The 14,024-nt window shown below is 44.2% G+C and overlaps 1 protein-coding gene across 5 annotated transcripts in view; it reads left to right on the forward strand.

Annotated features, from left to right (window-relative positions):
• DNAH9 (dynein axonemal heavy chain 9) overlaps positions 4,867–14,024 on the forward strand; it is a 371,279-nt gene continuing 362,121 nt past the window's right edge. For all 5 annotated transcript variants that reach the window (XM_011523703.3, NM_001372.4, XM_017024292.3 and 2 more), the window contains exon 1: positions 4,867–5,312. In XM_011523703.3, coding sequence (XP_011522005.1) covers positions 4,896–5,312 — 417 coding nt within the window. In that variant the 5' untranslated portion in view covers positions 4,867–4,895. The remainder of the gene's footprint in view (positions 5,313–14,024) is intronic.

The following is a 14,024-nucleotide window of genomic DNA, read 5'->3' on the forward strand; positions in this document are numbered from 1 at the left end:
TGGCTCACGCCTGTAATCCCAGTACTTTGAGAGACTGAGGCAGGTGGATCACTTGAGCCAGGAGTTCGAGACCAGGCTGGCCAATATGGTGAAAAGCCATCCCTACAAAAAAATGCAAAAATAAGCCAAGCATGGTGGTGTGTGCCTGTAATTCCAGCTACTCGGGAGGCTGAGGCACAAGAAGAGAATCACTTGAGTCCAGGAGGTGGAGGTTGCTTCCACACGTTGAATCAGGAATCAGCTGAGTTTAATAGAACCAGTAAGTAACATAAAGACTGAATAGTGCCAATTGGATTTTATGAAAAAGAAGTCACCAGTAACAGACTTAATCAATTTTTAGGATATCTGATATGTAATTTTATAAATATAATGAGTTATTAGCATTTAAATGAACATCTATACATTGATTCTCAGTAACTGAAATGAATTTCCCCACAGCATTCAGAGTACATGAAATGGCACGTTTGTTTGTTTTATTTTATTCTGAGTTATATTATATATTCACATGACACAGGAGTTACGAAGAAATTACTTAGGCAGAATTGTATGGGAGTCCTCGGTAAGGCTTTTCTTTTTAATGAACAGCAGCCCCAAGTCATTTTCTAACAAAGAGCAGCCTGTAAAGTCCAGCTGCAGACATACACAAGCAAGCTGGAAGCTTGCACAGGTGAATGCCAACAGGAACTAGGGACTAGACATGTTCAAGATGGCGGCTCCATCTTCCCTTCTCTGCCAGCCACATGTACAGTAATGAACAGACAAGATGGCACCAATCAACTAAAAAGTCCATTTGCATAATAAGATTAGAGTAGGACAACCAGCCTTCCGCTTGCACTATATAAACATTATACCTGATAGAACCAATCTGTGTGCCCTATGTAAATCAGACACCGCCTTCTCAAACCTGACTATAAAATCTGGTGCATTGACCACCAGCTGGTCCTTTTTGCTTGGAGACCCCCCTCTCTCTACAGAGAAAGCTGTTTCTCTTTCCCTTCTCTTCTGCCTACTAAACCTCTGCTCCTGACTCCTCCTGTGTGTCCATCTCCTAAATTTTCATGGCGTGTAATGACAAACCCCAGGGTCTATACCCCAGACAACATAGATGCTTCATAAGTACAATATGTATGTACAGTTTAAGAGGAATGACAAAATGAAAACTCACAAGCCAAGTTAGGAAATAAAACCTTATCAGGAACTTAAAAGGGCCCTGTGTTCCCTTTACTCATCCCATGCTTCTTTAGTTCCCCCAAGGAGTGATCAAAATCTGAATTTTGTGATAATCATTCCTTTACTTTTCATTAGATTACTACATATGTGTGTGCCTCTTACAACATATTGTCTAGTTTAAAACTTCTAACAAATGTAACACTAAATTATTCTGTAACTTTCCTATTTTTATTCAACATTATGCTTTTAGGATTTACCCATGTTGATGCATGTGACTACTGTCTATTTATTTTTACTGCTGTAGAGTATTATACGTCATGAATAGTATATAACACAATTTACTCATCCATTCTACTATTGATGGACACTTGGTTTGCTTCCCATTATTTTGCAGTTGCTACAATGCAACCATTGATGTTCTTATGCATGTCTCCTGGATGGAGTCACAGGCAGCATACACTGTCCTTCTATTCTTGGATCCCATAGAGATCCCTATTTGTGTCTGATGTTCACATTAATAGTATCCAAGATAGCTGAAAGGAGGTTATTCTAATAATTCATGCACATTATTTGAATTAGAACTTCATCATTATTTTGAAATATTTGATATGAAAAGATTGGGTTAGATTCAGTATCTATTAGCAGCATAAAAGATTTTCAATGTAACATTTGTCAAGGAAGAAAAGAAAGAGCTGTTAGATTCTGTAAATATAATGTCAACTGCTAATTTATGAATGGTTTTGAAAGGCTTTAACTTTCATATTACTTGCTTGTGGGAACAAATTTCTCATCACGAGCGACTATCCAGAATTTAAAGAGATCATGACCAAAAGTCTCAAACAGGAATTGTGCATAGTCATTTAAAACAAAAAATATGATTACTACAAATATTACGCTCATGGGACTGAGTTCAAGTTTCCAATTTAAAAAATGGAAATTATTTTAGCTGAACATCTTATGCAAATTCATTCTTTCCCTTACTTTTTGTGGTAGCCTGCCTCCAAGATGGTACCCAGTGATTCTTGTCTCCTGGTATTCACATCCTCATGTAATTCCCTCTCATATTGAATAGGGAAGACTTCTGTAACTAATAAGATAATTGCAGAAATGACAGTGTGTGATTTCCAAGGCTAGTCATAAGAGACACTGTAGGCTTCTGCCTTGCTCTCTCTTAGATCACTTCTTCCGGGGGAAGACAGTCACAGCATTACAAAGACACTCAGATACCCAATGGGGGCTCCACATGCTAAGAAGTTGAAGTCTACTGCCAAGAGCCAGCACTAACCAACTAGCCATGTGAGTAAGCCATCTTGGAAGTGTCTCCTCCAGCCCCAGTCAAGCCTTCAGATGATGTAGCCCCTGATGACATCTTGCCTGCAACATCATGAGAAACCTTGTGCAATAACTACGAGCTAAGCAGCTCCTAAATTCCTGACCCCCCCATAAACTGTGTGAGATAAATGTCTATTGCTATTTTAAGCTGATAAGTTTGGGGGTAATTTGTTATACAGTGATAGATAACTAATATATTTTGGGGATATTTTTGTCATAATTATACAATATTTTAAAATGTCAGTTGTTTTCAATAATCCCATATCAATGCCTCCCACCAATCACCTTCTAAAATGCAGATAAGGTATCTTTTTGGAGAGAAAATTAAAAACTGGGATTGCTAATATTCAGGAGCCTTCACCTTACACAGAAATCTTTAAGTCATATTCACAGACTCCTTTGTTCCTATTTTTATGTATGTTGGGGCAAGGGGACATAGGAGATTAACGGCATAATAGAGCCACAGTGCGGTGGCAGAAATTTTATTTCAAGGGTTTACTGAAAGTTAATGGTCCTGAAGTCACTCTGTATACGAAACATGAGCATAGTTGACACATTTGAAGTCCCTAAGCACTAAAACAATAACGATGCCTTCCTATGTGCAAAGATAAACAAAAAACGATATGTGTAAGAAGCCCCTGACATTACTATTTTTCCCTGATGCTTCTTCTTGAAATGTCAGTTACCAAATTCATCCTAAAGATTGTTTTAGTTTCCCACTTTTTCCCTTTCCTCATAGTTGGTTGATTATTGTTTAATCCAGCAATGATGAAACACCCTTTACAAACATAAAGATTCATTTCTAACATGAACATTTTTTATTACAGCAACTCCTTTGCTCCAGTTATTATGAAATCAATCATTTTACTTCCCAACCACTGGTGTTTTCCCGAGGGGCTCTTGTTAGCCAAGCTACCATTGATAAGTGCTTATTCTGTTAATATTCCTTTGAAACCCATTATAAACATTCCTTTTACCCAGAAACTCAGCAGTCCCTGGGAGGTGACTAAAGGGAGGATGGCAGGGCAGAGGGGAGCTCATTCAGTCCTGCAGACCTCATGCTGCCCAAGTTGTTTGTCCATTTTTTCAGCACCCATGCACTGTCACCTTACATGCATGCAAAGGGCCAAGCTGTTTATCCTGACCATGGAGAAGGACTAAGCAGGTAACAAATGCTAATTTCTGAGGTCAGGCAAGGCACTTTATATTATCCCTTTTTGAAGCCAATATCCAGGTATAGGGCAGGATGGGAAGGTTCTGAGCATCCTGCATATTTACAAGTACTTTGCTACATTTAGTAAGAACTGATTAGTGGTCATACCCATGGAAGTCAAAAACTCTAGCATGGTGGCTCATCCTTATAATCCCAGCACTTTGGGAGGCTGAGGCAGAAGGATCAGTTGAGTCCAGGACTTCAAGACCAGTTTGGACAACACAGCGAGACCTCATCTCTACAAAAAATTTTTAAAATTAGCTGGATGTGGTGGCGCCTGTATTCCCAGCTCCTAGGGAATCTGAGACCAGAGGATCAGTTGAGCCCAGGGATTTGAGGCTGCGGTGAACTATGATCCGGCCACTGCACTCCAGTCTGGGCAACAGAGTAAGACTCTGTCTCAAAAACAAGCCTCTTACAGTTTGGTTACATTTTTAGAAGATTAAGCACATGCCTTAAAAAACATGGGCAAAGAAAGGCACGGAAGAAAACTTAAAAAAACTTGATATTAAAATTTTGAAGCTGAGCTGTTCGATATAACTACAGTCACATGTGACTATTTAATTTTAAGTGAAAATTAAGTAAAATTAAAAATTTCCTCAGTGGGACGAGCATATTTCACCTCCTTTATAGGCCATGCGTGGCTAGAACAGATGGAAAACATTTCCATCATCGCAGAAAGTTCTACTGGACAGCACTGTTCTGAAGTGTTTAATTTGCCATCATGGAAAAGAAATAAAATTCACTGAATGTCCTTAAATCTGTTTTATGATTTGGCATTGTGTTTAAGTCTGGATTGCACATTTAGGATAGAGGTAAGAGGACCACACTATTTTCAGTGTCTGGAGACCTCTAAAGACTCTAATTCGACCTTGGCCAAAACGATCCTTAACAGCATTTATATGCTTGATCTCCTCTCCACGCAGCCCATCAATAAGCCATTGCGCTCCACGGTCACACTTCAGCACTCCCAATACACCAGGCAGACACTGAGTACGAGTCTCGGCTGGTGTCCTAGCAACAGCGACGCGACCCCGCCCCTTCCCGCGTACACCTCCTACCTTATTAGCCTGGAAGGGGCGGGACCAGGGGTCCGTGCCCAATAGGAAGGGAGCAGAGGAGTGAGTCCTGGCCGCGTCCCCGTCGCTAGGGAAACCGATGCAGCTGGAGGCCGCGCGCGATGCGGCTCGCGGAGGAGCGGGCCGCGCTCGCGGCGGAGAACGCGGATGGGGAACCCGGCGCCGACCGACGACTGCGACTCCTGGGGACCTACGTGGCCATGAGCCTGCGGCCGGCTGCGGGCGCCTGGGAGCGTTGCGCGGGGAGTGCTGAGGCGGAGCAGCTGCTCCAGGCCTTCCTGGGCCGCGATGCTGCCGAGGGGCCGCGGCCGCTGCTGGTGGTGCGGCCCGGGCCCAGGGGCCTGGCAATACGCCCCGGGCTGGAGGTGGGACCTGAGTCGGGCCTGGCTGGCGCTAAGGCGCTTTTTTTCCTTCGCACCGGGCCCGAGCCTCCAGGGCCCGACAGCTTCCGCGGCGCAGTGGTCTGCGGGGACCTGCCCGCGGCACCTCTGGAGCACCTAGCCGCGCTGTTCTCGGAGGTGAGGGTGGGTTAGTGTCCCCGCGCGGCTAAAGCTGGGTGGGGGAGGGGAGGAGGAGCCTTAAGGGACGGAGGCGGGGCCAGAGGGGGCGGGGCGAAGCTGCAGGGGAGGTCCAAGAGGCGGAGTGATAGGCAGAGGGGCGAGGCTGTGGAGGGAGCACAACCAGGAGGGAAGTTCCTGAAGTCAGGAAGAAAATGGGATGGGGTTAGGGGCGGAGTCGGGTGGGTCCGGAGGGAGGGATCTGGGTGGAGGCCAGGCCAGAATGAGAATGGGAAGGAGCTGAGGCTTGGGTCAGTCCGGGTCTGGGTTCCAGCCAAAGTCAGGGGAAGACCATAATCTGAAGAGTGCCTAGGTTCTGACTACTTTCAAAATCAGCCTCTCGTAATCCCTCCTGTAAATTGGAAAGATCTGAAGAAGATGGGAAGTGGACAAGACGGCATTTCTGATGGATCAGTGGGGTGGAAGGAGGTGGATGGCTATAAACAGTGCCTACTTCTGGAGAGCAGTTAAATGGGAGGGGGAGGTGGGTAGTGATTTGCTTTTGATTTTCATCTCATTCATTCATTACCAACCATTTAGCAAAGGTCAGCCCTGTGCCAGCATAAGAAGTTGGGCTCCCATTTGGAAATGCCCAGCAGGCCTTTGGAGGAGTCTGCCTGAAGCTCAGGGAGGAAGGTGGAGATGTGGGTCATGAGTGCTTTAGTGGCACCACAGCAGAAGCTTCGAGAATGCAGGAGATTTCAGGGAAGTGCTCCAGAGAGATTCCTGGGCCCCTTAGACCTTTCTGGAATGGGAGTAAACTGCCCTGCAAGTCAGGCTGTGTGCTTATGGAGGCTTGATGCCCTGGACCCTGCAGGTTGTGAAATAAGGATGGGCAGAATACTGGCTGTATGATGGTTCAGGTGATAGGTGCTATAGGGAATACCAAAGAACTATTCCCACCCATGAAATGCTTACTCCAAGGAGCTGAAACGTATGTAATAATTCATATATTCAAAATGTTTCAAACTTTTAAGACTGGGGTGAGGGTAAAGCTTACCTAAAAGTTGGCCCCACTGCTGGATGCAAGTCCTGGAGTCTCCCTGCTATGTCAAGTGTAAGCCCTTTAGATGGTGTATCAGGAGGCTGTGGGGAGGTGAAAATTCCAGGGAAAGGGTTGGATAGATAGAGGAGGACACAGAGGGCCCAGGAAGCTAGATCTCTTAGATATGGAGGTATTTCAATATTTTAACAAACAGAATGGTCTTGCAACTGTGCATTGTCTGAAAGCCATCCCGCTGAAGCCTGAACTTAGATCAGCTTCTCTAATGAATGTTGACGATAGAAAGTACTTTTGGCTTCAGAGGAGAAAGACAGGCCTGTGATCTGAGAAGCATGCTTAACATAAGTGTTGAATTGTCTCCTGAACAATTAGAAGAATTTGTATAAGTAGAGAGCAAGGTAACTTTCAAGATACTGAGAGCAGACTGATCAAAGGTTCAGAGACAGGATTTAACCTAGTGTATGTGGGAGACAGAAGGCCCATCTCAGAGTTGTGTCATGGCCAAGCAAAGTAGTCCAGCAAGAAAAATAATTTTAAAATAATGAAAATTCTCGAATGTTTAAGAATTTTCATTGGTGCATTGAAAGAGATTGGAGACAAACAATGTTCATCAACAGGGGACTGGGTGACTGAATTATGGGCCATCTATACAGTGAAATACTTTGCAACTATTAAAAAGAATGACTGATATGGAATATTCCTTTTTTTGAGGCAGGGTCTTGCTATGTTGACCAGGCTGGTTTCAAACTCCTAGACTCAAGTGATCCTCCTGCCTTGGCCTCCCAAAGTGCTGGGATTACAGGTGTGAGCCACCATGTCCAACCGGAGTTATTCCTTAGGGTAATTTTTTCCTTGTGGCAAAAAAAACACATGACGTAAAATTCACCCAACAATTTCCAAGTGTAGAGTACAATATTGTCAACCACATATGCATTATTGTGCAACACATCCTCAGAACTGCCCCGTCCAGCATCACTGAAACTCCACACACACCCAGCAAGCCACACATCGCTCCCCTGAGCTCCTGGCTAGCACCATTCTACTTTCTGTTCCTATGAACCTGACTCATCATATAAGTGGAATCATGCAGTATTTGTTCCTTCTGACTGACTTATGTCACTTAGCATAATGTCCTCAAGGTTCATCCATATCGTCACCGCCTATCGTCATATGCGGGATTTCTTTCTTTTTTTAACAATATTCTATTGTATGTATATACCACATTTCTAAAAAATTTATCCATCATAGACACTTAGGATGTTTCTGTCTCTTGGTTTTTGTGAATAATGCTGCAATTTAAGATAATTTTTTAAAGAAGTGCAGAATTGCATGGATGGTATGCTACTATTTATGTTTAAAAAAGAAAGGAGGGGAAGAAGAGAGAAAGGAAGGAGGGAAGGGAGGGTGGGAGGGAGAGAGGGAGGGAGGAAGAGAGGACATTCTTTAACAGTAATCCACAAGAAGGAGAAACAGTAACTGAAGTACAGGGGTAGGTGGAAGATTTACTTCCCACTGTAAAAGCTTTTGTACGTTTAAATTTTTGCCCCATGTAAATGTATTACCTATTTTAAAACCTAAATAAATAACTTATTTTAAAAATAACTCAAGTCCTTTCCTTGCATTTCTCAAAGCTTGTACCAGTAACTTTATTCCACTTTCTGTCCATCCATCTACTTTTATTCCATACCCTGAAGCTGATCCAGTGTCTCTTTCAAGGCTTGTTGGCCTCCCATCTGCTAAGACCCTCCTTCTGGCCCAGCCCTCCTGTCCACCCCCTCTCCTCTCTCTCAGCACCTTGTAATCAGCTTAATAGTCTCTGATTACCTGCTCCCCTTTTCCTTCCACCTCCCCATGCAGCATCGCTAAAGCCAGAAGAACCTACCTGGCTGAGAGACGTCTTCCTGCCTTGTGTGTGTGTGGGCGGGGCGGTTTGGGGGTAGGATTGAGGGTGTTGGCTGAGAGAAAGCTGTAATTTTAATATTATTTTTGTTCCATTCTACGAGTACAAGGTAAAAAAGGAAAATGTGCCTAAGAAATGTTTGAAAGGAAGAATTAACAGAATTTAGTAACTTGTTCTCCTACTTCCTTACTTCCTCCTCCAACCACATCATTCACTACTGCCAACTTATTTTTCCTAGCTCTGAAACTTGGATTTTTTTTTTGACTTTTTGCATTTTGGAATGTGAGCATAAGATTTGGAATCTCACAGACCTAAGTCAAATTCTGGTTAAATTCAGCAGTGTGATGTGAGCAGATGTGCTCACTCTGCCAGGTCCAAAACTGTCTTGCAGGGTTGCTATGAAATTTAGACATCATATATTAGAACACCTGGAATAGAGTGTCACACTGCAGGTGTTCCATAAAGGATGAGAATTCTTGTCACTCTTCATCCTATTTAAAATCCTCCTCACCCATCTGATGGATCCTTGTCACCTTGCTGTAACCCATCCTGGCTCCTCCTGGAGGACTCAGCTGCGTTTCCCCTACAGCCTTCTCCTAAGCCTGGAGCTGGGGCAGGTGGCCTCCTTGTTCCTCCTTGCTGCTCTAGATCCACATCAAAAAGCCTCCAGTTTGAATCTCCTGTCATCAAAGGACATCATCCACTCTCACTGCTGCATCCTGTACAGATGGTGCTACCCTTGCGTGTGTATGATTTTGCCTCCCAACTCACTGTGGCTCTCCCCAACATTACTTCTAATATGTGGTTATTTCCAAAGACATGTGAATGACCCTTCCAATAACTTGGCCTCTGGGTTCTCTGTATCTTTGTCCTCCAGTGATCTTGTCCTCCTCCCGATCATAAGCAGCCCCTCCCATGGCCATTTCCAGACCTTGCATTCCCAACAACCACCAACCTCATTGTCCAATTTTATGCACCTCCTTCTCTGACCACTACTCCCATCTTTCCAGCTCACTCTCTCTCATACCCTGACTACAACAGTCCTTTGATCCTGCTGGGAGCTCCAATCTCTTGACCTTGGCTCCTTCCCATTGGCCCTGGACCATGCACACGGTCTCTTCTCTTACCCAATTTGAGTGCCATGCTCCTTCATGATCATCATACCCTTGCATCAGCTCCTGATGTACTGGCCTCTACCTCACTATGTCATACTCAGTTGGTGCAACCACAATCCTGGTAAAACCCAGCTCTACATACTTCATACCTGCACCCATTAAATTAAAAGAGACCAGGGAAAAACCAATGGGCTCCTCTTTAAATACACGACCTCTCGAACTGCTAAGTAAGCCTTTTATGTTTCCCAGCAGACATTCTATTTTTTTTCTATTCCAACTATATTTTCTTGCTCTTTTAGATCACTATTTCCCAACGTGAGAAACAATTTGAAAAGAAAAATCTTTCTTCTTTCAAATGTCCAAAACCTCCTGTTAACCTCACTCTGAGACGCTCTTGCTTCTTTCTTGGTTTTTTAAGAAACGGAAACGAGAATAACAAGTCCACGAACTCTTATGTCCACTTTGACTGCAGCATCTCTCCTTGTATCTTCTGCCATCCCATCCGTTGCTAGAGGTAAACTGTTTGTGCTGCCCTCTGATGCCAACCCTAAGGCTGAAACTGCTGCCTGTGCTCTGAATCCCACACATTCCTGAGGAGATCACTCTAGCAATTTCCTCTTCTCCCCTGCATTCATATTTTTCTCCTCTCTGCTAGATAATTCTCATCAAGCAAAATCCTCCTTTCATCCCACCAGCTGTCACCCTATGTTTATGACCCCCTTCATAGCAGAATTCCTGGAATGTGTGTCTCCTCTTGGTGTCTCATTATTTTCCTGTTTTATCTCATCATCACTCATCAGGCTTTGACTTTCTCACTTCACAGAAGAGGAATAAAATAACGTGTCAATGTTTCTGATGATCTCCACTTGACTAAATTGAACGGCCCTGAATCAGTCCTCGTTCGGCTTGACCTGAGAGCAGCGTTTGTCATAGCTCATGATCATCCTCTCTTCCTGGAAACGCTTTCTTCTTTGGGCTCCAGGAACCAGTCTTCTGGTTTCCTCCTATCACCATGGCTATCACCAGTGATGGTGCCTCCTCTTATTCCCCACTTCTTTTTTTTTTTTTGAGATGAAGTCTCGCACTGTCACCCAGGCTGGAGTGCAGTGGCATGATCTCCGCTTGCTGCAACCTCCGCCTCCTGGGTTCAAGCAATTCTCCTGCCTCAGCCTCCCGAGTAGCTAAGATTACAGGTGCCCGCCACCATGCCCAACTAATTTTTGTGTTTTTAGTAGAGATGGGGTTTCTACTCTGTTGGCCAGGCTGGTCTCAAACTCCTGACCTCGTGATCTGCCCACCTTGGCTTCACAAAGTGTTGGGATTACAGGTGTGAGCCGCCGCGCCCGTCCTCTTCCCAACTTCTTAACACCAGATGGTCCTACGGCTCATTCCCTGGACGTCTTCTCTTCTCTCTATATACACCCATTTTCTTGGGGGCTGTCATTCAATTTCAAAGTTCCACAAGCCATTTGTATCTGACACCTCCCAAATTTGTTATCTCCAGCCCTCTCTTCTCCTCTGAACTCTCAACTAGCATATCCAGCTGCCTACTCAACATCTCTATCTTAAAGTCCAATCGAGATACTACATTTTAACATGTGCAAACAAAAGCTCCTGTATCTTCTCTGAAGATCTTACTCCACCTTTACTCCTCCCCACATCAGTTGACAGCAACTCCATTCTTCCCGTTGTTCAAGCCACAGATCTTAGAGTCATCCTGACCCTTTTTTTTTCTCTTGCGACTCCTAAAGCAATTTGTTAACACATCCTATTGGCTATACCTTCAAAATTTGTATGGAATCAGGCCATTTCTTACCATCTCCCCCACTACCCACTGTGCCACACCACCGTCTTCTGTATTATAGCACCAACTTGGTAGGTGGCCTCCCTTTCCACCTTTGCCCCTTAGAGCCTATAATCACGGCAGCTTGGTTGATCCTACTCAAAACGATCTCAGCCTATGGCACTCCTTTGCTCAAAACTTTCAATGATGTCCATTTCTCTGAGAGTAAAAATCAAAATCTCACAGGCAAGGCTGCATGTGAATTGACTCCCTTTACTCTCACCTATTCTTTGGGATCACTCTGTCCCCGCTTTCCTTGCTTCCACACTGCTCCTTGATCAGACCAAGCATGCTTCCACCTCGGGGCCTTTGCACTGGCTGTTCCTTCTCCCTGCAATATACTTCTCCCAAGGATCTGCAAAGCACTCCCCCTATCCTTCCCAGCCTTTGTTCAAATCTTATCTTCTCAGTCAGGCCAACCTCAACATTTACAATTGCAGCCCCTCCACCCCACACTCCTGATTCCCTTCACATGCTTTATCTTTATTCACAGAACTTACTGTTTCTTGACTGTCTCTCCCTTAGAATATAAGCTTCATGAGGTCAGAAATTTTTGACTGTTTTGTTCACGGGTGTATCCTCCTAGCACCTAGAAAAGTACCAGCACATAATAGATGCTCAGTAAATACTCATTGAATAAATGAATGAGTAGCTTTTTGGTCTGTTGTTGTTGTTGTTGTTGTTGTTGTTGTTGTTGTTTCGAGACAGGGTCTCACTCTGTTGCCCAGGCTGGAGTACAGTGGCACGATTTCAGCTCACTGCAGACTCGACCTCCCTGGGCTCAAGCGATCCTCTCACCTCAGCCTCCTTAGTAACTGGGACTACAGACATGCGCCACTACAACCGGGCAATTTTTCTATTTTTTTTTTTGTACAGATGAGGTCTTGCTATGTTGCCCAGGCAGGTCTCCGACTCCTGGGCTCAAACAATCTGCCCTCCTCAGCCTCTCAGTGCTGGGATACAGGCGTGAGCCACCGCACCTGGCTATGAGTTGCTTTTCACTTCATAGAGAGTTCACATTCGTTATTTTTCTGTCACTCAAAGCCCTTAAAACCCCCACTCAAAACTATTCCTTTTTCTTCAGACAGTGTACATTCAGTTATTTGATAAACATCTTGAGTGCTTTCTATATGCCAGATCCTGGAGAGAACTCTGACTATATAAAAATTAAATAAGATAGAGTCCCTGCCTTTGAGATCCTAGGAAAATTCCAGTTCATCCTCTTTCCCGGTTAGGACTTCTGCCCTGGGTTCAAATGGTTCTTTCTTAACATGAATGTGATAAAGCTTAATTTGTAAACTTTCCTTCCTTTTTGAGCTCCCTTTACTGATTGTTGTAAGTTCCCAGCTCAGTGAATGTTTCCAGACAGACCAGGCAAAGACCATCCTCTAGAATCTAACATGCTGGGTCCAGGTATTCTATTTCACGGCCACTGGGGCTTATTGATCATAACCCAGCCAGTCATATGAGTTCATATTTCCTTTTGATTATTTATATATTGGTAGCTTCCTCATCACATTATATGAGCATCTGTTTGTCTTTCTGGTATTCTCCTTCCATCACTTGTGAGATTTTGACAGTCAAAGATTCCGGGTGAGTTTACTGACAACTTTCTTTCTTTTCTTTTCTTTTCTTTTCTTTTTTTTTTTTTTGAGACAGAGTCTTGCTCTGTCTCCAGGCTGGAATGCAGTGGTGCAATCTCGGCTCACTGCAACCTCCGCCTCCCGGGTTCAAGCGATTCCCCTGCCTCAGCCTCCTGAAGTAGCTGGGACTACAGGCACGTGCCACCACACTCGGCTAATTTTTTGTATTTTAGTAGAGACAGGGTTTCACCATGTTGGCCAGGATGGTCTTGATGTCCTGATCTCGTGATCTGCCCACCTCGGTATACTGACAAGTTTCTAAGTTGCGATTAATAGAAACCTAATTTAAACTAGCTTGGAAAGTTCAAGAGCAGCTTGATTTAGGAGCTCAAACAAAGTTACCAAGACTTGGTCTTTCTCCATCTGTAAGCACTCTCCTCTCATATTAACTTTATTCTAAGGCGCTATTGGTTGTGAAGGTGACCAAGAAAAGCTCCACACTAGCAGAAAAGAGAAGGTGTCTCTTCCTTGAAAAGTCACATAAGACACTTTGGCCTGACTCTCACTGGCTCAGATTTGGTTCCATGTTCACCTATGGATTTGGGGATGAATACTGAAAAAAGAGGAACTATGTTGGGTGGCCAGAATAACCTAACGTTCACCCTAAAGATGGATTCAAGATCCTCAACTTTGCTTGCCTTTTCAAGGTGCCCTTCCCACCACCTGTAGACAGAAGGTCATGTTTATCTGCTTGTGTCCTCCTTTTTTGCCTCTGGCCTTTGTGACTATTTAATCACCTCCTATTCACCCCGTTGATGAGGGAGGGATTCCTGCCTGAGAGTGATGGAGATGGGTAAACATACAACACCCAACATAGGACAGACACCATTGACAGCAGTTTTTCAGTCAACATACTCACAGCCCAGAAGAGGACACTGAGCCATGCAGGCCACATGGGGATTGCTCTTGGGAACAGACTAAATGACAAGGGGCTGTGGAAAGCACACTTTGTATTAATAGTATCAAGAAGGTGTAGTGGTCCCTGGATCTCACTGGGGGACGCAATTGGCTAGTTTAAATCATTCCACCAGCTGGCAGGGAACTGAAGTCTGCTTCTCAGGGATAAGCGGGAACTGTGCCTCGTCCTCTTGATAAAGAGTTTTTTGTTTTTTCTTTTTACATTTTTTCTGAGATGGAGTCTTACTCTGTCGCCCAGGCTGGAGTGCAGT

This window comes from Homo sapiens, chromosome 17, assembly GCF_000001405.40.
Source record: "Homo sapiens chromosome 17, GRCh38.p14 Primary Assembly".
Lineage (NCBI taxonomy): Eukaryota > Metazoa > Chordata > Mammalia > Primates > Hominidae > Homo > Homo sapiens.